Here is a 24838-nt window from a genome sequence, read left to right on the forward strand (position 1 = left end):
AAACTGGGCACAGAAGGAACATACTTCAACATAAAAAAGACCAATATGACAAACTCTTAAGTAACATCATACTGAATGGGGAAAAGCTGAAAGCCTTTCCTCTAAGAACTGAAACAAGACAAGGATGCTCACCTTCATCACTCCTATTCAATACAGTACTGAGAGTCCTAGCCAGAGCAATCAGTCAAGAGAAAGAAATAAAAAGCATCCAAATTGAAAAAGAGGAGGTCAAATTGTCTTTGTTTGCACAGGGCATGATCTTGTATTTAGAAAAACCTAAAGACTCTACCACAAAATTCTTAATTTGATAAACAAATTCAGTAAAGTTGCAAGACATAAAATCAACATATAAAAATCAGTGGTATTGCTATATACAACAGTGGAATATCTGAAGTAGAAATGAAAAAGGCAATTCCATTTATAATACCTACACACACAAAAATGGAAGATAACACATACACACAAAATGGAAAGGCATACCATGCTCATGGATTATAAAACTTAATACTATTAAAATGAACATACTACCCAAAGCAACCTACAGATTCAATGTAATCCCTATCAAAATACCAATGACATTTTTCAAAGAAATAGAAAAAAATCAATTCTAAAATTTGCATGGAACCAAAAAGAGAGTGTGAATAGCCAAAGCAATCCTGAGCAAAATAACAACAACAAACAAATGAACAAAAAATAAAAATAAAAAACAAAGCTTGTAGCATCACACTACCTGACTTATAAGGCTATAGTAACCAAAACAGCATGATATTGGTATAAAAATAGACATATCAACCAATAGAACAGAATAGAGATCCCAGAAATAAATCCATGTATTTACAGCCAAATGATTTTTGACAATGGCACCAAGAACATACATTAGGGAATGGACACCTTCTTTGAAAAATGGTGCTGGGAAAACTGAATATCCATATGCAGAAGAATGAAACTAGACCCCTATAGAAAAGTCAAATCTCACCATATACAAAAATCAATTCAAAATGGATTAAAGGCCTAAGCATAAGATCGAAAACTATAAAACTACCAGAAGAAAACACCACAGGATATTGGTCTAAGCAAAGAATTTATGGCTAAGACCTCAAAAGCAGAGGCAACAAAATAAAATAGTAGATAAATGGGACTTAATTAAATTTAAAAGCTTCTGCACAGCAATGGAAACAATCAACAGGATGAAGAGACAACCTGATGAATGGAAGAAAATATTTGCAAACTAATCTTATGACAAGGGACTAATATACAGAATATACAAAGAACTCAAACAACAGCAACCCAAACGCAAAACAAAGAAAAAACAACAATCTCATTAAAAAGTGGGCAAAGGATCTAAATAGACATTTCTCAAAAGAAGATATACAAATGGCCAACAGGTCTATGAAAAAATGGTTGATATCACTAACCATCAGGGAAATGAATATCAAAACCACAATGAGATATCATTCTACCCCAGTTAGAATGGCTATTATTATTATTTAGAGACAGGGTCTCACTCTGTTGCCCAGGCTGGAGTGGCAGTGGTGTGATTATAGTTCACTGCAGCCTTGAACTCCTGGGCTCAAGTGATCCTCCTATCTCAGCCTCCTGAGAAGCTAGGACTACAGGTGTGCACCGTCATGCCTGGCTAATTTTTGTTGTTGTTGTAGAGGCAGAGTCTCACTATGTTGCCAGGTTGGTCTTGAACTCCTGGGCTCAAGCAATCCTCCCACCTTGGCCTCCCAATGTGCTGCCATTGTATGTGTGAGCCACTACACCTGGCCACAGAATGACTGTTATTAAAAAGACAAAAAAATAAAGTAACAGATGCTGGGGAGGATATGGAGAAAAAGGAACTCTCATACACTGTTGTTGGGAATGTAATTTAGCACAGCCATTATTGAAAACCGTATAAATATTTCTCACAGAACTAAAAACAGGACTGCCATATGATCTAGCAATTCCACCTTGGGATATTTATCCAAAGGAAAGGAAATCATTATATCAAAGGGATACATGCACCCCCATGTTTATTGCAGCACTATTCACAACAGCAAAAACATGGAATCAACCTAAGTGTACATAAATGGATGGGTGGATACAGAAAATGTGGTATATATACACAATGAAATACTACTTGGACATAGAAAAAATAATGAAATCCTGTCATTTCCAGTAAGATGAATGGAACTGGAGGTCATGTTAAGTGAAATAATCAGGCACAGAAAGACAAGTATCACATGTTCTCATTCATACATGGAAACTAAAAGAGCTGATCTCATGGAGGTTGAAAGTGAATGATAGTTACCAGAGGCTGAGGAGGGTCTGTGTGTGGGTGAGTGGGTGGGGCGTGGAATGGATGAAGAGAGGTTGGTTAATGAGCACAAACATACTGTTATAGATAGGAGGAATAAGTTTCAATGTTTCATAGCAGTGTAGGGTGACTATATAGTTAAAAACAACGTATTTATATTTCCGAATAGCTAGAAGACAGGTCTTGAAACATTCCCAACACATATAAATAAATACTTAAGGTGATGGATACCCTAAATACCCTGACTGATTATTAGACATTCTATGCATGTAACAAAATACTACAAATACCCCCATTAAAATGTACAAATATTGGCCAGTGCAGTGGCTTACACCTGTAATCCCAGCACTTTGGGAGGTCAAGGAGGGCGGATCAAAAGGTCAGGAGATCAAGACCATCCTGGCCAACATGGTGAAACCCTGTCTTTACTAAAAAAAAAAAAAAAAAAAAAAAAAAAAAAAATTAGCCAGGCACAGCAGCGCATGCCTGTAATCCCAGCTACACGGGAGGCTGAGGCAGGAGAATTGCTTGAACCCAGGAGGCGGAGGCTGCAGTGAGCTGAGATTGCACCACTGCACTCCAACCTGTGTGACAGAGCAAGACTCTGTCTCAAAAATAAATAAATAAAATATACAAATATTACACATTAATAAAAAATTTCAAAAACAAACAAAAAGAGATGGAAGTACAAAAGAGACCCAAATGGAAATTCTAGAGTTGGAGAGTGTAACAACTGAAATAAAAAATCCAGTAGAAGGGGTTCTACAGCAGGCTTGAGCAGGCAGAAGAACAGTGAATTTGAAGACAGGGCAACTGATATTATGCAGTCTAAGTGTCACAAACAAAAAGGAATGAAGAAAAGTGGAGAAGAGCTGAAGAGACTATGGGACACCATCAAGTACACCAACCTAAGCATAATGGGAGTCTTAGAAGATTAGAAAGGGCACATAGGCCAGGTGGGGTGGATCACGGCTATAATCCCAGCACTTTGGGAGGCTAAGGCAGGCAGATCACCTGAGGTCAGGAGTTCAAGACCAGCCTGGCCAACATGGTGAAACCCCATCTCTACTAAAAATACAAAAATTAGCCAGGCATGGTGGCAGGCGCCTGTAATCCCAGCTACTTGGGAGGCTGAGGCAGGAGAATCGCTTGAACCTGGGAGGCAGAGGTTGCGGTGAGCAGAGATCCCTCCATTGCACTCCAGCCTGGGCAACAGAGCAAGACTTGGTCTCAAAAAAAAAAAAAAAAAAGGGGGCACTTATAAGAGATCAGTGTTAGGATTAAGAGCTGAATTCTCACCATAAACTACCAAGGTCAGAAGGCAGTGGGTTGACATTTCAATGTGCTGAGAGAAAAATACTGTGAACCATGAACTGTATATCCAGTAAAACTATCCTTCAGAAATGAAGGAAAAATTAAGATATTCCCAGACAAACAAAAACCAAGAGAGTTCACTACTAGTAGAATGGCCCTACCTGCCCATGACCAAAAAAAAAAAAAAAAAAAAGGTAAAGGGAATTCTTCAGGCTGAAATAAAAGGACACTGCATAGTAACTCAAATCCATGGGAAGAAATAAAAAATAACAACAACAACAAAAAAGACTAACAGCAAAGGAAACTACATAGGTAAATATAAAAGTCAATATATGCTTTGTAAGTCTTTTTTCCACATGATTTAAAAGACAACTACATAAAACAATATTTATAAATCCATACTGATGGACCACAATGCATAAAGATGTAATCTGTGACAACAACAACAATAGAATGGAGGGAACAGAGATATATGAGAAAAGTTGTTGTATGTAATTGAAACTAAGTTGGTAAATTCTAACTGGATTGTTACAAATGAAGATGTTAATTATAATCCCTGCTGCAGGTTCTCTTGCCAGCTCATTTCCTAGGTTCTACCAATAGAAATTATTGGTAGGACACTGGAGGTGAGAGGGGGAAAATATGTTTGTGTTTTTTTCTGGCTTCTGATGGCAATTCCAACAGAGTTGTTGCAACAGACAAGTGAAGGCTCCTGAGTTGCTGTTGAGAAAGCTCACGTCCAACAGGAGAAGCCTCAACAGCACAATAATCATGGGTTCTGGGTAACCTCATTTTCTATTTCACTCTTCTAGCACTAGGAATAACTGCAGCTTCTTGCATATATCAAGGTTTTGGAAACTTATCCACTTTTTGCTTCTCCAACCATTCCAATGACTTTCTAACCAATTCCTTATATTAAATCCCCCTATTTGAAATATCTAGAGTGTATTCTCTCTTCCTTACTAGATATAGACTACTGACTGACAAAAGTACATCAAGAAATCCTACAAATCAATAACAGATAAAATAACTAAATAGCAAAATAAGTAAAAGTCATAAAAAGGCATACAAATGGTCCAAAATACATGAAATAAAAACCAACCTCATTAGTAATAAAACTAATACAAATTAAAACCACAATAAGATAAAATTTCATGTCTGCCAGATTAACAAAATTGTTAAATCATCCAATACCAAGTGTTAACAAGAATCTAAATTCTTGTTTGTTTTTTTTTTCTTTAGACAGAGTTTTGTTTTTTCACCGAGGATGGAGTGCAGGGGCTCAATCTCGGCTCACTGCAACCTCTGCCTTCTGGTTTCCAGTGATTCTCTTGCCTCAGCCTCCAGAGTAGCTGGGATTACAGGTGCCTGCCACCACGCCCAGCTAATTTTTGTATTTTTAGTAGAGACGGGGTTTCACCATGTTGGCCAAGCTGGTCTCAAACTCCTGACCTTGTGATCCACTGGCCTCAGCCTCCCAAAGTGCTGGGATTACAGGTGTGAGGCACTGTGCCCAGCCCGAATCTAGAAAAAATTCTTCTTCACAGTTGGTGGGGGTATAAAAAAGCACAATCACTGTGGAAAACATTATGATTATTATGTAAAATAACCAAACAGGTTACCACCCTAAAACTCAGCAATCCTACTCTTAGGTAACCCCAATATGATTTATAAATCCATATTGATGGACCCACAATGAGAACATAGCAACTTTAAAACTTTTTTGACTGTTACTCAAAATAAGAAATTTATTTTATAGCCTTTCTCAATACACACAGTCATACACACAGCCACAAAAAGAGTTTCACAAAACAATATTTTCCCATAATATACTGTATATGTAATGCACACTGTAAAAGCATATGTAAAACTATAATGCATATATAAAATGGAAAATGCATATTTATTTTAGTTTTGTTTCTTTTTGAGACAAAGTCTCCCTCTGCCACCCAGGCTGGAGTACAATGGCATGATCTCGGCTTACTACAACCTCTGTCTCCTGACTTCAAGCGATTCTCCTGCCTCAGCCTCCTGAGTAGCTGGGATTATAGGTGCGTACCACCACTCCTGGCTAATTGTTGTATTTTTAGTGGAGACAGGGTTTCACCATGTTGGTCAGGCTGGTCTCGAACTCCTGACCTCATGATCCACCCGCCTCGGCCTCCCAAAGTGTTGGGATTATAGGCGTGAGCCACCACGCCTGGCCTAGTTTTGTTTATTAACTGCTAGGTATGTGAGACTGTTATATTTTTCAATATGCTGGTTGCAATCTACCGAATTGATTTTATGGCCCTCTAATTGGTCACATCCTACAATTTAAAAACTACTACCCTAAAGAAATTCCAGCACATGGCTACAGGGCATTCTTCAGAGTAGCAAAAATCTGAAAACAACCCATCTATCCATCAATAGATCGAATAAGCAAATTATACTATGTTCATAAAATGGAATATGATATTGTAGTGAAAATAAATGAACTACTAATATCTGCATTAATATGGCTAAAAAACAATATTGAGCAAAAGAAGCTAGTCACAGAGGCCAGGCGTGGTGGCTCACCCCTATAATCCCAGGACTTTGGGAGGCCGAGGCAGGCAGATCACTTGAGGTCAGGAATTCAAGATCAGCCTAGCTAATATGGTGAAAACTCATCTCTACTAAAAATACAAAAATTAGTTGGGCATAGTAACAGGCATCTGTAATCTCAGCTACTCCAGAGGCTGAGGCACAAGAATCCCTTGAACCCAGGAGGTGTAGGTTGCAGTGAGCCGAGATCAGAGACTCCATCTCAAAAAAAAGAAAAAAAGAAAAAAAAGAACCTAGTAACAGAATACCCACACCATGATTGAGTTTATAGTAAGTTCAAAACTGGCAAGCCTAAACCCTATATTGTTTGGGTTTATGCTATAAAGAAAAGGAAGGGATCAACAAATACAAAACTCAAGATAGTGACTTCCTTTAGGAAAAAAGGAAGGGCCTGTGACTAGCAAGGGTCTTCTTAGTTATATATAATCTTCTATTTTTTAACCTGGGTAGTGGTAACATAGATATCCATTTTATTATTAGTCTTTAACCAAATAGCTGCACCTTACATGTTCTTTTATATGACACGTTGTAATAAATATATTTTTAAGTAGAAAAGGGAGTCTTCCCTAAGAACTCACATAGATTCACACTAAGACCTGAAAGTTACTTCATTTCCTTCTTTGATAAAGTCCTGAATATTGGCAGATAAGAGATTTTAGTAAGGCATTTTAAATAATCTCTATCAATATCCTTGTAGATAAAATAACACAAACTTGATGTAGTAAAATTAGATAAATTATTAGGTTGATATAAAATGGCCATTCTCATAGATCAAAAATAGTTAAGAATTAACAATTTCATATGATTTAACCTATTAAAAATATATCTGCTAGAGATAACGTGAAGATGAAGAAATACTAGCTGATTTGAAAGACACTGGAAGTAGAATTTATAGTCTTGGAAATTGGTTGTTATTATGAGAGAGGGGCATTTTTTTTTTTTTTGAGACAGAGTCTCCCTCTGTTACCCAGGCTGGAGTGCTGTGGCACAATCTAAGCTCACTGCAACCTCCGTCTCCTGGGTTCAAGTGATTCTCCTGCCTCAGCTTCCTGAATAAGTGGGACTACAGGCGAGCACCACCATGCCCAGCTAATTTTTGTATTTTTAGTAGAGATGTATTTAGTAGAGTATTTTTAGGGTTTCGCTATGTTGGCCAAGCTGGTCTCAAACTCCTGACCTCAAGTGATCTGCCTGCCTCGGCCTCCCAAAGTGCTGGGATTACAGGCGTGAGCCATCGTGCCTGGCCAACAGAGGGCACTATTCTAGAGACAAAAGAATCAAGATCCAGACAACCACTAGGTTAGTTATAACATTAATATAGGTAACAATGAAAAAAAAATTGTTTGAGGGCTATAGTAAATTGAAAAATAACGTAGGCCAGGCATGGTGGCTCACGCTTGTAATCCGAGCACTTTGGGAGGCCAAGGCTGGTGGAATCACCTGAGGTCAGGAGTTTGAGACCAGCCTGACCAACATAGCGAAACCCCATCTCTAATAAAAATACAAAAATTATCTGGGCATGGTGGCGGGTGCCTGTAATCCCAGCTACTCAGAAGGCTGAGGTGGGAGAATCACTTGAACCCGGGAGGCAGAGGTAGCAGTGAGGCGAGATTGCACCACTGCTCTGTTGCATAGGCAACAGAGCAAGACTCTGTCTCAAAAAAATAGAAAAAGGAAAATAATGCATTTGCTTTTAGATATGCTCAGTTTCAGGAGGCCCTTAAACTCACAAGTGGAAATGTCAAACAGGCAATGAGAGATATGCATTCATATCCCAGGTAGGAAGTAGGGGCTAAAGAAAAAGTTACAGGAGACAGCAAAGAAGTGGGATTGAAGTCACATTTGAGATGGCCTCAGGGTTAAGGAAGAAAGAAGATGAGAGAATGGAATAGAACATTGGAAACAACATTGAAGAGGTCATTAGTGCAAAAAGAGACAAAAAAAAAAAAAGAAACTAAAATAAGGGTAGGATATGAAAAGAGGAATATTTTATAAGTTGAAGGAAGAGGTAATTTCAAGAAAAAAGCAGTGAAAATTTATTTTAACAAATATTTGAGTGCTACTGTGTCCCAGACATTGTAAGATAAGGCAGCCAAAGAGTTGATACTCTCTTTCCTTTGTTCTGTCAATATTTTCATTGGTAAAGCGAAGAACAAAAGTAAAGAGGTACTTTATCAGATTTTCAAATGAGAGAAAGGAGTAGCAGCTGATATGACAGAATCAGGATCCAAATGTATTCCAATATACTGGAAGTGATGGGCACATGTAAGGTACATGGATGTGCTTTGGTCAAGGAATAGGCCAAGTTGGACATCTGGGACAGAGTGACTCGGTGAGTTTAGGGTGCAGGTGCATACTCTGCTTGTTACATAACCTGTTTGTGTAAGCTCATACTGGGCTCGGAGCCACTATTCTTTGAGAAAGGTATAACTGCCCTGCTGATGCCCTGCACACCCAGAGAAAAGAGAGAGAGCCAGAGTTGTTCGTCTTATAGATAGACAGGGGAGAGCCAGCTTGGCTTGTGCCCAGAGAGAGAAAAAGTTAAGCTGCTAACCCTGTAAGGGAGAGCCAACCTTGTAGCCCAGGGAATGCAGCTGTGTGTGGGAGTGGCAGGAGCTGCAGAGCTGGAGCAGATAGCTGAGATAAAGGTAGACAGTGTAAGAGAGCTGCTGTGAGAGAGCTGCTGATGAGGAGCTAGTGTGAGTGAGCTGCTGATGAAAGAGCTGCTGAATAAAACCATATTCAACTGCTACGGTCCCCCGAGTGTTCTTTTCAGCCATTCGTGACCCATTCACCCCTTCCTTTTGGACCTCAGCATGGGCTGGAACCTGACCCTGAACCTGACATTTGGTGTAGTCCTCGGCAGAATGAGATGAATGGGTCTTCAGCCCACAAGACTCCCAGGTCGGCAATGTGGCTGCATCATGGGCTGTGGTAACTGGTGGCAGCTGTGCTGCATGGATGGGCTCCAGTGGAGACATGGGTGGCAGTGGACAGGTCCCCTGTGAGTGTGGAGATGGAACTGAAGCACCTAGAAGTGCACAGCACCGAGAAAGTACATACTTTTGTCAGCAGAGTCAGATGGGTGTTTATGACTGAGCACAGTCATGAGCAGGACATGCATGCCCAGTCCCTGTGGGATGCAGCGCAGGGAGGAGGAAGAACCTTGGTTGCAGGCTCACCCAGTGGTCTGCCAGAAAATAGAGCATAAGCAGCTGTTGGGCCCCAAAGGTAGGCCTAGGGACCCCCACCCCCACTGAGTTGTGGGAGTTAGGCAACTAATGTCGGCAGCGTCTGGGGGGTCCCCTCCCTGCCTGATATTCCGTCTCTGAGACGAAGGAGCTGACACATTTCCTGCTCTGCCTCCAAGATGGAGAAGCTGGCTTTTTAAAGTGTGGACTGATGCTGGTCCAGAAAAGTACCAGAGACTGTCAGACGATGAAAGTCAAGTATAGACTTGGTGCAACTCAATTGGGAGAAGGATGTTACTGTACAGCCCAGTCCTGCCTAAGTGTTCCAGTTCAGGGAGTACCTGCTGCAGTCAAGTGGAAGTGTAAAGACTTTTCTGTTTGATAAGGGAACTGGCTGAGGTGCCTTGCTCAGAGGGACACTGGACCACCGCAGCCACATGTGGACTTGGCAATCCACTGGTCCCTGAACACGTATAAGTTTCTGGGTGGGGCTGCATCAATTAATGGCTATGAAAGCCAGTCAGTGAAAGTGAGACCTGTATCTTTGCACCTTGCCATCAGCCGCTTGGCTCTCTGCTTATGCATTGTGTATCTCTCCCCAGTGCCTGAATGCATTCTGGGGGTGGATGTTTTGCACAGCTTGGCAGCTGTGCTGTCTGTCACAGACTTGATGGACCGCTTGACAATGGAACTGGGACTTCTTTTCCAGACAGCCAGGAACAGTTTGCCTTCATGGGAGGGCGACAATGGACTTTCACAGTGTTGCGGTGGTGTCATAGTCTTATTAATGATGTTATGCTAACCTCTGATTCTTTTACAGGTTTAAAAGCGGGAATGCCCCTCTTGCCTGGGATTGGGATAATGAAACTGAGGCAGCCTTTTCCAATAGCCAAGCAGGCTATTCGGTAGACATAAGCCCTATGGGTAGTTGACCAGGGGTGCTCATTTAAGCTGGATGTGCATGTGACCACAGATAGCTTTGGCTAGGGCCTATATCAATGCATGAGGCACTTGGGAGTGACAGTATGCTTTTAGTCCCAACTATGGAAGGGAGCTGAGCTCTCATACTCTGATAGGGAAGCAGTTAGCAGCTATATATGCTTCCCTTCAGGCTAATGAGAGCATGGCAGGACAGATGACTTACCCAATAGCGGGATGGGTGCATTAATAGGTAACAAGCCCCCAGAATGGGATGGCGTAGATATCCACTTTAGCAAAGTGTAGCACCTCCTTAGAACAGCGGAGTATGCTGAGTACAAGTACCTTAGCTGCAGTGTTACAAGAGGTCTTGGCACCTGTAGTCCTCATGCAAGATAAGGCCATGGGGCCTGAAGCACCCCTAGACCCTAAGCCTTCACTGTTAGGAAGAACATCCTCCCATTCTTAATAGGGCAGGGAACACAGATAGGTCTAGCTGGGGTGCTACTGCTGCCTGGATTGCTGTCACAGTCTAGCCTAGTACTGACACCATATGGTTTGAAACCAGGTGCAGGCAAAGTAGCCAATGGGCTGAACTCAGTGCAATGTGAATGATGATCAACAAGGAGGTGACACCTACAGTAATCTGTACTAATAGCTAGGCAGTTTATCAAAGCTTATGTATGTAACGGGCCTGTGTGTCCAGAAGCTTATGTATGTGTTGGACCTGGGGCCTATGTGCCAAACCTGTGTATCAGGCCTGCATGCCCAAAGCTTATGTGTCAGGCTTGTGTATGAAGCCTATGTGTGTTTATTGGGCCTCTGTGCCCAAAACCTATCTCTCTTGGCCTAGAGGGTGAAATGTAAGGTATATGGATGTGCTCTGGTCAAGGAATAGGCCAAGGTGGACCTCTGGGCCAGAATGACTCAGTGAGTTTAGGGTGCAGGCGCATACTCCACTTGTTATATAACCTGTTTGTGTAAGCTCATACTGGGCTCGGAGCCAGTATTGTTTGAGAAAGGTATAACTGCCCTGCTGTCACCGTGCACAGGGCTTGTGCGGGCGCACCCGAAGAAAGACAGAGAGAGAGCCAGAGTTGTCCATCTTGTAGGCGGACAAGGGGGAGCCAAGGCTCGGCTCGTCTTGCACCCAGAGAAAGAGTTAAGCTGCTAACCCTGTAAGGGAAAGCCTGCCTTGTAGGCCAGGGAATGCAGCTGTGTGTGGGAGTGGCAGGAGCTGCAGAGCTGGAGCTGACAGCCAAGATAAAAGCAGTGTGAGAGAGCTGCTGCGAGAGAGCTGCTGATGAGAGAGCTAGTGTGAGTGAGCTGCTAATGAAAGAGCTGCTGAATAAAGCCATACTCACTGCCTACAGCCCCTTGAGTGTTCTTTCAGCTATTTGTCGCCCATCCACCCACTCCCTTCAGACCTCAGCATAGGCTGGAAACTGACACTGGGTGTGACAGCACAACCTCACAAAACGATATCTAAGAAGAATAAAAATACATCACCCATGAACTATTCTTGCCCAAAACATTTAACCTGAATTTAATCAAGCCTCTCTCTAGGCCTAACTTCCACTTTACAAGAAATGCAAAGGCTAGAAGATGTTAAATGACACCATGAGGAAAACAATCAGATAAATCCAGAAAAATAGGATGGTCTATAAGACAACTGTCCTGAACTCTTAACAAAGACAACATCGTAAAGAGCGGATTAATAAAAAAAGGTGGAGGACTGTTCACATCACAAGTGACCAAGAGGAGGTCATATGGGAACTCTCTGTACTCTGCTCAAGTTTTTTATAAACCTAAAACTGTCCTAAAAATATAGTCTAAAAAAATAGAGAAATGCTGAGTCAGTCACTGAGAGAGAGAAACGTCAATACTAAGAAGATTCCACTTTCTGGTTCTTACTTATTTGGTACTGCAGAATCAGTGGCTGAAAGTGCAACACTTCCTTTTTGCTGTGCTGGTTATTTTTCTTCATATATAATGCCACTGGTAAGCATGAAGAACAGTTTCTTTTTTTTCCCCTCACACTCAAGGGAAGTCTAAACAGCTGACCAAGGAAGGCACGTTCATCACCTGCTGGCACTGATCAAAGCAAAGGTATCCAAAACACCTGAAAAGCTCCTCCCTAGAGTAACAGATATGCCACCTGGCCTAGAGCTCGGCCTCAAATATGGCCTATTCAAAGTTTTGTATTCTGAAGATGAAGAAATCAAGCTCCAGAAAGGTCACACCCGTGAGATGAAGCTAGCTGAGCCTAGGTGAGGAACCCATCTCCTGACTCCTAGTCTGCCACTCTTAGCCAGCACTTTCAATGAGAGTGAAAATAGCCTGGCAGACATCCCTCCTGCTAGAACTGCCTTTTAGACAGTAAAGCAATTCCCAAATATGTAGAGCACTATCAAATACAATAGCCATTATTAATATGTACCTACTAAGCACTTGAAATGTGGCTAGTCTGAATTGGGATGTGTTGTAAGTCTAAACTGGATTTCAAAGGGTATGATTTTTAAAAAGTAAAATAACTTATTAATAATTTTTAAAATATTGGTCAGACGCGGTGGCTCACGCCTGTAATCCCAGCACTTTGGGAGGCTGAGGTGGGCAGATCACCTGAGGTCAGGAGTTCGAGACCAGCCTGGCCAACATAGTGAAACCCCATCTCTACTAAAAATACAAAAAATTAGCTGGGCAAGGTAGTGGGCACCTGTAATCCTAGCTACTCAGAAGGCTGAGGCAGGAGAATCACTTGAACCCAAGAGGCAGAGATTGCAGTGAGCCAAGATCGCACCACTGCACTCCAGCCTGGGCAACAGAAGGAGACTCCGTCTCAAAAAAAAAAAAAAATTAAATATTTATTATATGTTGAAATAATATTTTGATAGGTTAAATCAAATACATTATCAAATTTATTTTTAAAAACAACCAAAGATAACAAGCAACTAAACACAAGGTGTGAACATTGACTGGATCCTAGTTTGGGGAGAAAAAAAATAAAGCTATAAAAAACAGTGTATTCATTTTCTATTGCTGCTGTAATAAGTGACTGTGTAACAAGTCACCACAAATTTGGTGGCTTAAAATCATACAAGTTTATTATCTTATAATTCTATAGGTCAGAAGTCCAAAATAGGTCTTACTGGATTAAAATCGAGGTTTCAGCAGGGATAGGTTCCTTTCTGAAAGGTATATGAGAGAATCCATTTCCTTGTCCTTTCCAGTCTCTTTTCCAGAGGCCACTGACATTCCTTGGCTTGTATTCTTCCATTTTCAAATCCAGCAACACTGTCTCTCTCTGTGCCTTTCTCCCATAGTCACGTTTCCCTCTAACTCTGTTTTTCTGCCTCTATCATCCACTTTTAAGGACCCTTGTGATAACACTGGGCCCACCAGATAATCCAGTATAATCTCACTATTTTAAGGTCAGTTGATGAGCAACCTTAATTCCCCTTTGCCATGTAAGATAAGATAGTCAGAGGTTCAGAGGATTAAGACATGGCTACCTTTGGGTACAGGGGAAGCATTATTCTGCTTACTACAAATAGTTTTGTGACAATGGCAGAAATTTGAATTATTATAGAATTTTTGTTAATTTGCTTGCATATAATAAGGGTATCATGGTTATGAAAGAAAATGCCTTTATTCTTTAGGAATGCCTTCACTTAGGAGTGAAAGGTCTTATCTAAAACTTATTTTCAAATAGTTCTGCAAGTAAATAAATGTGTAAACTTATATAGATATTCATATATACATATATCTATAAAGCAAATATGGCAAAATGTTAATGATTTTGAATGTAGGTAGAAGGCATATACAGTTTATTATTACCATTATATTATATATATTAACTTCTCTTTACATATCAGATTTTCCTTAATAAAAAGTTGGAAAAATTCAAACAAATCCACAAAATGTCACGGTCAATTATACAAATACATATGATAGAAATGTACTTAGCGGCCTATCACAGTGGCTCACGCCTGTAATCCCAGCACTTTGGGAGGCCGAGGTGGGCGAATCACCTGAGGTCAGGAGTTTGAGATCAGTCTGGCCGACACGGTGAAACCCTGTCTCTACTAAAAAAAAAAAAAAAAATTAGCCGGGCATGGTGGCATGTGCTTGTAATCTCAGGTACTCGGAAGGCTGAGGCAGGAGAATCACTTGAGCCTGGGGGGACAGAGGTTGCAGTGAGCCAAGATCGTGCCACTGCACTCCGGCCTGGGCAACAGAGTGAGACTCCACCCCAGCCACCGCACTAAAATAAAAATGTGATTTAGCCATAGACCATGTGATAAAAGAGCTAGTGGTGTTATATTTACTTTGATTTAAAAAAGTCACATGGCTAACAAAAAGTTAAATAAACTTAAGTAGCATTTAAAGGATTATCTGAAAGAGTATCTTCTTCCTGTGGGCCGCTGACAATGGAGTACTGTACATGATCCATGCATCCATATGTGCATAAAAAATGTCTAAAGACTGAATACCTGTCACATATACCTGTGTTAATATTATACATAACTATATAGATGAGGTTATGATTAATTAAAAAGTGTCACTTAGCATTCTATTATATATTTTTCATCACTGGACACTAAAATTATACTGTCACCATGCAGAAACTGTTAAAATTTGTCATTTCAAAGCATTCTCATATTCAAAAGTGCTGAGAATCAGCACTATAGATAAATGCCCTCAGTCTGTTCTTGCCCAGGTCAGAGCAAATGTAGATTAAAAAGAAATTATTTATCTGCACACTCACTTAAGAAATGATTTATGGTGGCTTACTGAAACAGCTCCGTTGTCTGGGCTATATACCCTGATTTCTGGTCAAGGTTGAGAAAGAATTCAGGACATGGGCACACACGAGGAGTGGGTTTAGCAGCAGAAAGTTAAATAGAAAAAGAAGAGAGAGAGAAAGCTTCCTCATGCAGAGAAAGCAGGTCATCCAAGAGAGGGTCTCCAAACAGAAAAAGGATTGGCTAGCACGAATGTGCCAAGTTTTATAGTCCAGTTTGAGGAGGCGGTGTCTGATTTACATAGGGCTCATAGATTGGTTTAATCAGGTATGACGTCTACATAATGCACAGGGAAGGCTGGTTACCCCACCCTAATCTTATTATGCAAATGGACATTCCAGTTGATCAGTGCCACGTTGTCTGCTTCTTTCTGTACACGTGGCTGACAAACAGAAGGGAAGATGGAGCCTCCATCTTGAACATGATTGGCACGACTGCCAGTATCTATGTCTGCAGCTCTTCGTTAGAAAGGAAAATAATTTGGGGCTGCTTTTCATTAAAAAGGAAAGCCTTACCGAGGATTCCCATATCCCTACTATCTGCCTAAGTACTTTCTTACCTCCTATATCATTATGAAAGCACATATACTACAATGAAAATAAGTTGAAGACAGATAAGAAAAATACGGCAAAGGGAGAAGAAAAATACGGCAAAGGGAGAAGGGCAGGAAAGACAGAACAAGAATCTCTCACACAAAAGGCATGATATATCTTGTTAGAGGTGAAATATTTCATGCAATTCTGTCTATCTGGATACCTTAAAATGGTATTGAGGAGAATTACATTTCCAGGAATGTAGTAAGTAGGTAACAGGATCAAACAACTAAATCCTGGATTAAGCATTTTTTCAAAATATTTTCTAAATGCACTGATGAGCTTCTGAAAAATTACAGAATTCCCAGGATTCCTGAAGGCAGGAACCCAGAAGGGTCAGCTGACCTCAGCCGCCTTTGAAAACATTTGATGAACCAGATGAACTGGATCTTCAGGGTTTTTGTAAACTTAGGGCTTTTTGTGGGCACAAGTTAACAGGGTAAGGGAGCAGGCCAATAACAATTCCCTCTCTAATAAAGCTGAGACCTCAAATGGCTTCTTTGCTTTTGTCTAAAAGTGAACAGAAACTTATCTCTACCCTCCAACCAAAACTGCAAGGAAAAATAAATTACGTGGAATTCTGATGCTGAGTGGATTAGGGTAGGGAACATCACATCTAAGGATCTGGAACTACAACCCATTCCTCACATGCTGCTCTCTGTCTAGTCTAGAAAACTGCAGACCAGTAATTTAGAATGATCTCAGGCTGGTACTGCTGCCAGGCACCTGGCAGAAGTAAATATAATCCTTGCTGGAGAAATCTATTTTTATCCAAGGGCTCAAAAATACTGATACAAATAAAATTCCAAGAAAAATGAGTAGCTCATAGCAAAAAATAACAGAATACATTGGAAACATATAACCATGAACAAGGAACAGCAAAAACAGACCTGAAGTACTGTGGATATACAGCATGTAAAATAACCACATTCACTATTTATAAAGATACTTCTAAACTGACTGTAGGGAATAAGAAACTCTAAATAATAACTAAATAAAGTTGAAAAAGTACCCCTGGCAGTGTGGTGCAAGGTGGGTGTGGCAGGACCATGGGGCTCGAGTGCAGCCCCGGCGGGAACACAGACCATTTTAGTTTTGATTGCTGTTACTACTACTGATAACTGAGCCAAAGTAGTGATGCTACTTGAAGGAAATTTCTGCAACCCGCAGTCAACTATCATACGATTGTGAGCCATGCCTTTAGTGAAGAGGAACACCAAGCCCCAGCACTTGTGCCAGGGAGCTCTGCCTGAGGGGATTACCAGTGAACTTGAATGTGTAACCAATAGTACTCTTGCCACTATCATACACCAGCTGAGCAGTCTGAGATCTACTCATTTCTCCTTGGGCAGTCAGAAGGTGGAGGAGAGGATGCCCTGGCTATGAACTATGCAAGGCTTACAAGGGCTAAAAGGCTGCACCATTTACATCAATGACCCCCTTAAGAACCATTTGCTGCAAAAACTTCATCAGCACGGCCAAGTACAGCATGTGGTCATTTCTCCCTGAGTTTTTGTATCTGCAATTTACCAAACCTGCCAATGCTTTCTTGTTCATTAATGTATTGCAGCAAATTCCAGATGTGTCTCCAACAGGAAAATATACAACTCTCTTGCCTCTGATTTCAGGGACCAAAGAGGTTATAGAAGATTGTAAATGACATATGGCAGACAAAATAGTTAATACAAAGAACTGAGAGTTCCTTCCTACAGACATAGTCCTGATGTCTTCCAGTGAACCTCAGTTGATTGTTATATAGCAACGCCTAATCTGGATGGAGAGACAGATCTAAAGCTACAGCAGGCTTTGCCAGAAACAGGTTGAATGCAATCAGAAAACCGTTTGTTCAGCCTATCTGGAAAAATAGACCTAATCGTCATTTCTTAGCTTAGATGGAACCTTGAGCCTAAGTGGTAAAAGCTCTGTTCCAATTGGGCCTGACCAGGTCTTGTTAAGAGGTATACAGCTGAGAAATACTCAGCGGATTATTGGCATAGTTGTTTGCACTGGATTTGAAACAAAATTCATGCAGAATTCCGTCAAATCACCTCTCAAGAGATCAAAGGTTGAGAAAGTGATCAATGTGTCAGTCTCCCTTTTGTTCTTGCTGCTCTTGGTCATGTCCTTGATTCCAGCTCCCAAGTCATTGTCTGACATACTGGTGTTCATCATCTTGTACCAGAACCTCATCCCCATTAGTCTGCTGGTTGCTGTGGGAAAATTGTGAAATATATTCAGGCCCAGCTTATACACTGGAATGAAGATATGCATTATAAAGTAAATAACGTCTACGCCATGGCCAGAACATTCAATCTCAACGAAGAACTTGGGCAGGTAAAACATCTATTTTCTAATAAAACAGGAATATTATGACATTTAAGAAGCGTACCACTGCAGGTGTAATTTACGGTCAGACACCTTCTTCCATCCTAGAGTCCTGTGAATTTAATGACCCCAAATTATTGGAGAACTTTGAGAATGGTCATCCCACAAAAAACTATATAACGCAATTTCTTACCCTGTTATCTGTGTGCCACACTGTTATTCCTGAGAGATGGAAATAATATAATCTACCAGGCTTCCTCCCCAGCCAAAGCAGCTTTAGTGAAAGGAGCAAAAGAATATGGCTTGTTCTTTATACAAGAACACCATACTCTGTCACCACAGAAGCTACGGGAGAAAAATGCTTTTGAAATTCTTAATGTCCTGGAGTTCTCTAGTAATAGAAAAAGAATGTCTCTAATTGTCTGAACCCTTATGGGACGGCTCTGGCTCTACTGCAAAGGGGCTGATAGAGTGATTTATGAGAGACTTTCAGAAGATTCTCTATTTGTTCAGGAGACATTAACCCATCTGGAATATTTTGCCACAGAAGGTCTGAGAATTCTCTGTGTTGTGTATAGAGATTTAACTGAGAATGAATATAATGGGTGATTTCGGAAGTACAAAAAAGCGAGTACAACTGTACAAGACAGAATTCAAAGGGTAGAAAAATGGTATGATATTATTGGCCAGGCACAGTGGCTTACACCTGTAATCTCAGCACTTTGGGAAGCCGAAGTGGATGGATCACCTGAGGTCAGGAGTTTGAGACCAGCCTGGCCAACATGGTGAAACGCTATCTCTACTAACAATACAAAAAAGAAATTAGTTGGGAATGATGGCGGGTGCCTATAATCCCAGCTACTCAGGAGGCTGAGGCAGGAGAATCACTTGAACTCAGGAGGCAGAGGTTGCAGTGAGCCAAGATCATGCCACTGCACTTCAGCCTGGACAACAAGAGCAAAACTTTGTCTCAAAAAAAAAATAAAAAAGAACGTTATGATATTATTGAAAAGGTAACATAGGCCATATGTACTCTACATGCCAAGATAAATATGTGAAGGAAATCTAGTTATCAATGTTTTCATATCTTGAAGTAATTATTTATTATTTATTTATTTTTTGAGATGCAGTCTGACTCTGTCGCCCAGGCTGGAGTGCAGTGGCATGATCTCGGCTCACTGCAAAGCTCCACCTCCTGGGTTCATGCCATTCTCCCACCTCAGCCTCCTGAGTAGCTGGGACTACAGGCGCCCGCCACCACACCCAGCTAATCTTGTTTTTTTTTGTTTTTGTATTTTTAGTAGAGATGGGGTTTCACTGTGTTAGCCAGGATGGTCTCGATCTCCTGACCTCGTGATCCGCCTGCCTTGACCTCCCAAAGTGCTGGGATTATAGGTGTGAGCCACTGCGCCCCGCCAGTAATTATTAAAACAATGAAATTTTGTTTTTTCTTCAGAAGCAAAAAAAAAAAGGATCCCCAAAATGTATAAATATGAAAAAATATTAATTACTGAAAAAAACCTTGTCAACAAACAAGGTCGTGAGTTAAGGACAGCTAATGGAAGAATTAGTAAATGGAAAAAGACATCTGCAGAAAATATCCAGAAAGCAGCAATAAGAAATAAAATGATAAAAAAATGAAGATTAAGAGACAGAAGGGAGAATGAGAAGATCAACAGACATATAACTGGAGCCTCAGGAGAAGGGAAGTGCAGGGAGAGACGGAGAGAGAGACAGAGACACAGAGTGAGAGAGAGAGAGAGGAGAAAATAAGACAGAGTCAATGTTTGAAGAGATTTATCACTGATAAATTTCCAAAACTGATGAAATACACCATCCCACAGATTAAAAAAAAATGTAGCAAATCCAAAATAGGATAAAGACACAAAAAATCCTCACCTAGACACATTATAATGAAACTTCAAAACATTAAAGTCAAAGGGAAGGCCTTAAAATCAGCCAGAAAATGACAGGCTATCTTCACAGGAACAACAATTAGACTTCTAGCTGACTTCTTATCAGAAACAACTGAGGAAGAAGACAGTGGAATAATTTCAGTGTAATGAGAGAAAAGAACTGTCAACCTACTATTCTATATCTATTGACAATATTGTTCATGGAGGAGAGCAAAATAAATATATTTATTTTCAAAGAAACAAAAACAGAGATTTGACCTGGAGAACCTCATTTAATGCAATTGTAAAGAGTGAAATCCAGGCAGAAGGAAAGTAATATCAGATAAAGAGTCCAGATTAAAAGTTCACTTGACAGGGAATTTTAGTGAGAACTCAAGCACTTACTAGTTAGTTGGACGGCATCATATTTAAAGTCTCTTCAACAATAAAGAGACTTTTTTCTACATAATTTTAATCTTAGAAAATCAGACGCTAGATCCATTATATCATTACTTGGAGTTTCCATCTCACCTGAGTTGCTGTCTTACTAGGAAACATTTGATATTTCTTCAGTCACACCTGAAAATGGAAATAACATTTAGATTGTGCTTCACAACTTTTAAAGTGCTTTCATAAACATCATCTTGTTCAAATCCACAACTGTGCTACTACTATTTTCATTTTATAGACTGAAGAACTCATAGAGTGTGATTTCTCCAAGACTGTATAGTTAATAGAACTCAGAAAGGTTTTCTGAACCTAAAGATTGGAATTTTTAGGCCAGGCACGGTGACTCACACCTATAATCCCAGCACTTTGGGAGGCTGAGGAAGGCAGATCACTTGAGGTCAGGAGTTCAAGACCAGCCTGGCCAACATGGTGAAACTCCTTCTCTACTAAAAATACAAAAATTAGCCAGAAATGGTGGTGCATGCCTTTAACCCCAGCTACTCGGGAGGCTGAGGCCGGAGAATCACCTGAACCGAGGAGGCAAAGGTTGCAGCGAGCCGAGATCACACCACTGCGCTCCAGCCTCAGCAACAGAGTGAGACTCTGTCTCAAAAAAAAAAAAAAAAAAAAAAAAAAAAAAGGATTGCACTTTTTAGATTGTGTTCTGCCTTTAAAAGTCCCCTAAATATCTTTAGGATTAAAACACATCTATTAATCAAAATTTTAAATGAAATCCACATATATAAACAAGTGAAAGTGGAGGGAAGTGTTGTGGTTGAAGAGAGTGCATAGTCAAAGCTCCACGTACACAGCCTCCCACTATCTGCCAGCAATGGCTCCTAAACTCTTCTGTGGACTAGTCTGAAGCTCAATGATTGACACTATCATCCTATTTTCACCTTATAAAGTAGTCTCAGACTCATTCACATTACTTAGTCTCTAACTCAAATCACTTTCTCTCCACCCCAAGCTGATTACCAGTATTCACTTACAGATACTCAAGACTTCAGAGGATCTTTGAACTCCCCCAAATTGAGTAGTATACGTATGTACATGTATGTAATTTTAATGGAAGAGGGACTATTACAAGGACTGTTTATAGGCAAGAGGAACTATTTCATTGGGTTTTGAAAGTAGTCCATGATTCAAAAAAGGGGTAAGCCTCTGGTTCTGGCTTATAAGATTATGGCTTTAATTCACACCTCAAATCTTATTTTCAGGGCCAGTTTTCCTGATTTTTGTTTAGCTTTCCTTCTTGACTATTATTCAAACTCTTATTCTGTAAATACCTGACTCAGTCTAGTCCAGTTTCTGGAACTTTGTATCTGAATGCAGATGGTGACCCTGTCATATTCTAGCCTTGGGAACTAGACGCAAATATTGCCTACACTGTCTTTGTTTTATGTAATGAATTTTACAGTATTCTACAGTTCAAAATTTAAGTATATATTCATGTAAATATATATAATTTAAACCTTCAGAACTCTGTTGCCTATATCTTCCAGGGTGTATGGTACATGGGGGCTTTCAACTATGTAGCTGGCCTACGAATAAATGAACACCATTGGCTTATGCTTATCTTTTTTGTATGTCTTAAATATTGCATGTAAAATGTCAATAAAAGACATACAAAACTTAAGCAATACCCTGCAGGATGCTAGCCAATGCCTGATTCATAATGGGTGATCAATACTTATCTGTTAAATAAATTTTTATTCATACTAGGTTTAGTTGTTTTATCAGGTTGTCATTACACTTAAGATGACACGATATATTTATTTTAGCTGACTGTATACAATGAATTGTTATAGTGGGGTTTACATACCTAGCGTGATTATAATTAAACTGATTACTTGTAATTAGACTTGTTTGAGACAGAGTCTCACTTTGTCGCCCAAGCTGGAGTACAGTAGTGCCATCTCGGCTCACCTCAATCTCTGCCTCCTGGGTTCAAGTGATCCTCCCACTTCAGCCTCCTAAGGAGCTGGGACTAAATGACCAGCTAATTTTTTTTTTTTTTTGTATTTTTGTATTTTTAGTAGAGACAGAGTTTCACCATGTTGGCCAGGCTGGTCTCAAACTTCTAACCTCAAGTGATCCTCCCACCTCAGCCTCCCAAAGTGCTGGGATTATAGGCATGAGCCACTGTGCCTGGCCTTAGACTCTTTACAGTCATATTTCATATAGTTTTCCTATCAGTAGGTGAAAGAGAAAAGACTGCTTCTACTCTGAATCCCAGAGAATAACAGGAAAGATTACAAAACTAAGACACCATTTGGTAAAAGTTTTCATGTTATTTCATCTGTTAAGAATGTTTAGGTGTTTTGTTTTGGCTACAAAATTTAAATTTCTCTTACACTAATTTCATATGACAATATTACCTTTTGCATTGGTATTTGATTCTATCTACTACTAGTTTGTTTGTATTTCAAACTAAGACATACTTATTCAGACTTTTTAAATTCTAGTGTGCTCTAAATTCAATTACTTTTCAATGTCTATGAATTTTCATCCAATTATTTCACTAATGTGGTAAACTTAAACATTGATGTCTGAAGCAGTAGCCATTATATTTGGTCCATTAGTTTACTTACAGCCCAGCACTAATGTTTATTAGTCAAACGAAATCTTAACTTGGGAAACCCTCTTCTTACACTTAGCCAGAGGCTATAATTCACAACTAGTATTTTCACAAATGGGTTCAACTGAAGCAAGTACTGTGGGAAAATGTAGATGGGCAAAGCAAATCTATCAGGGCAACTGGAAAACTAAGTCAAGTTCATATGCTACAGATAAGGGCAGAGAAGGGCCATTTCACTTTCAAAAAAGAAAAAAACGCAGGTGGCCTTTGATGAACAGAATATTTCTCTTCAACCTATTTTAACCTCTATATTCTTATCTAAAATTTCCTCATTAAAGCTATTAAGGTAAGCTTCAGAATATTTCCTGCTATAACTACTTAGTAAAACTAGTTAGTGTATAAAAATACAATTGATTTTTGTAGGTTGTACATCACTAAATTTCAGCACATCTTGGCATCCAGACTAACACACGGTGAAAGACAGGAACATGGCAGATGATCTTTATTTATACTTACTGTATGGGGGTAGAGCAGGAATGGATAATAGCATTGCATGATTACTTTTTACTTTTAAAAAACTAATTTCTAAAATAATAATTTAGTAATTTTATGCTACAGTTTTTTGTTTTGTTTTTTTGCTAACATCCCTCACCATTACATAATACATTTACAAGACGGGAATGATACTACCAGGCTCACTTTCAGCAGTTGTGTATGTCTTAGTCTAAGAAAACCAATACAAAATTAGCCAGGTGTAGTGGTGCACGCCTGTTAATTCCAGCTACTCGGGAGGCTAAGGCAGGAGAATCGCTTGAACCCTGGAGGCAGAGGTTGCAGTGAGTCAAGATCACGCCATTGCACTGCAGCCTGGGCAACAAGAGCGAAACTCCATCTAAAAAAGAAAAAAAAAAAAAAAGAAAAGAAAAACCAGTCGGGGCCAGGCCCAGTGGTTTACAACTTACATAATCCAAGCACTTCAGGAGGCCAAGGCAGAAGGAGTGCTTCTGCCAAGAGTTTGAGTCCAAGAGTTTGAGACCAGCCTGGGCATTATGGCAAAACCCCATCTCTACAAAAAATACAAATATTAGCCAAGTGTGGTGGCGCACGTCTGTAGTCCTAGTTAACTAGAGGGTGAACTGAGGTGGGAGGATTGCTTCAGCCTAGGAGGTCAAGGCTGCAGCGAGCCGAGATCATGCCACTGCACTGCAGGCTGGGTGACAGAGAAAGACCCTGACTCAAAAAATAAATACATAAAAAATAAATTAAAAATAAGAAAAACAGTATCATGTGCTATTAGTTGCATTTAACTGCAAACATAAACTTGAAAAAATATAGCTAAAGGTTTTTCATCTTTAATAAAGTCATTTGCTTCTTAAAAATGGATCTAGGGTAGGTTTTTTTTTCTTTTTTTGAGACACAGTTCCACTCTCATTGCCCAGACTGGAGTGCAATGACGTGATCTCGGCTCACTGCAACCTCCGCCTCCCGGGTTCAAAGGATCCTCCTGCCTCAGCCTCCCAAGTAGCTGGGATTACTGGCACAGCGCCACCACGCCCAGCTAATTTTTGTATTTTTGGTAGAGATGGGGTTTCACCATGTTGGCCAGGCTGTTCTCGAACTCCTGACCTCAAGTGATCCGCAAGCCTCAGTCTCCCAAAGTGCTGGGAAAACAGGTGTGAGCCACCATGCCCGGCTGTAATTCTTTTTAAAAAATAGCTAGAAAATACAATCTTGCCTTCATCTTAAGTATATGAAATACTGTTAGAATATGTTGAATTATTTCTACTTAGATAACCTCATAACTAAATTATTGCCACAAAATGAATAGCCTTTAGCCATAAAATTAAAAGCATAAGAACACATTTATAAAGAATACTT

At 40.1% G+C, this 24838-nt stretch overlaps 1 protein-coding gene and 1 pseudogene across 32 annotated transcripts in view, besides 1 other annotated feature; one reads left to right on the forward strand and one right to left on the reverse strand.

The window, feature by feature from the left end:
• N4BP2L2 (NEDD4 binding protein 2 like 2) overlaps nt 1-24838 on the reverse strand; it is a 106384-nt gene that overhangs the window by 27645 nt on the left and 53901 nt on the right. For 11 of the 32 annotated variants that reach the window (NR_170379.1, NR_170385.1, NR_170384.1 and 8 more), the window contains one exon: nt 20461-20508. The exons of 19 other annotated variants lie outside the window; for them this stretch is intronic. Coding sequence is in view for 1 of the 13 variants with exons in the window: in XM_047430041.1 (XP_047285997.1) it covers nt 20461-20487 (27 nt within the window). In the remaining 12 variants the exon portion in view is untranslated. Of the gene's footprint in view, nt 1-17757; nt 18147-20460; nt 20509-24838 lie in introns of all 32 variants that reach the window. 2 more of the 32 variants (XR_007063657.1, XR_007063656.1) reach the window with 2 other exon arrangements.
• Nucleotides 12019-12188: an enhancer, noted in NCBI's record as "active region_7560". NCBI's record gives its function as "activates an Ori minimal core promoter by ATAC-STARR-seq in GM12878 lymphoblastoid cells {active_cell/tissue: GM12878}" and the evidence as "EXISTENCE:reporter gene assay evidence [ECO:0000049][PMID:35858748]".
• Nucleotides 17045-18721, forward strand: ATP8A2P2 (ATPase phospholipid transporting 8A2 pseudogene 2; annotated as a pseudogene).

The sequence above is a fragment of the Homo sapiens genome, chromosome 13 (assembly GCF_000001405.40).
Source record: "Homo sapiens chromosome 13, GRCh38.p14 Primary Assembly".
NCBI lineage: Eukaryota > Metazoa > Chordata > Mammalia > Primates > Hominidae > Homo > Homo sapiens.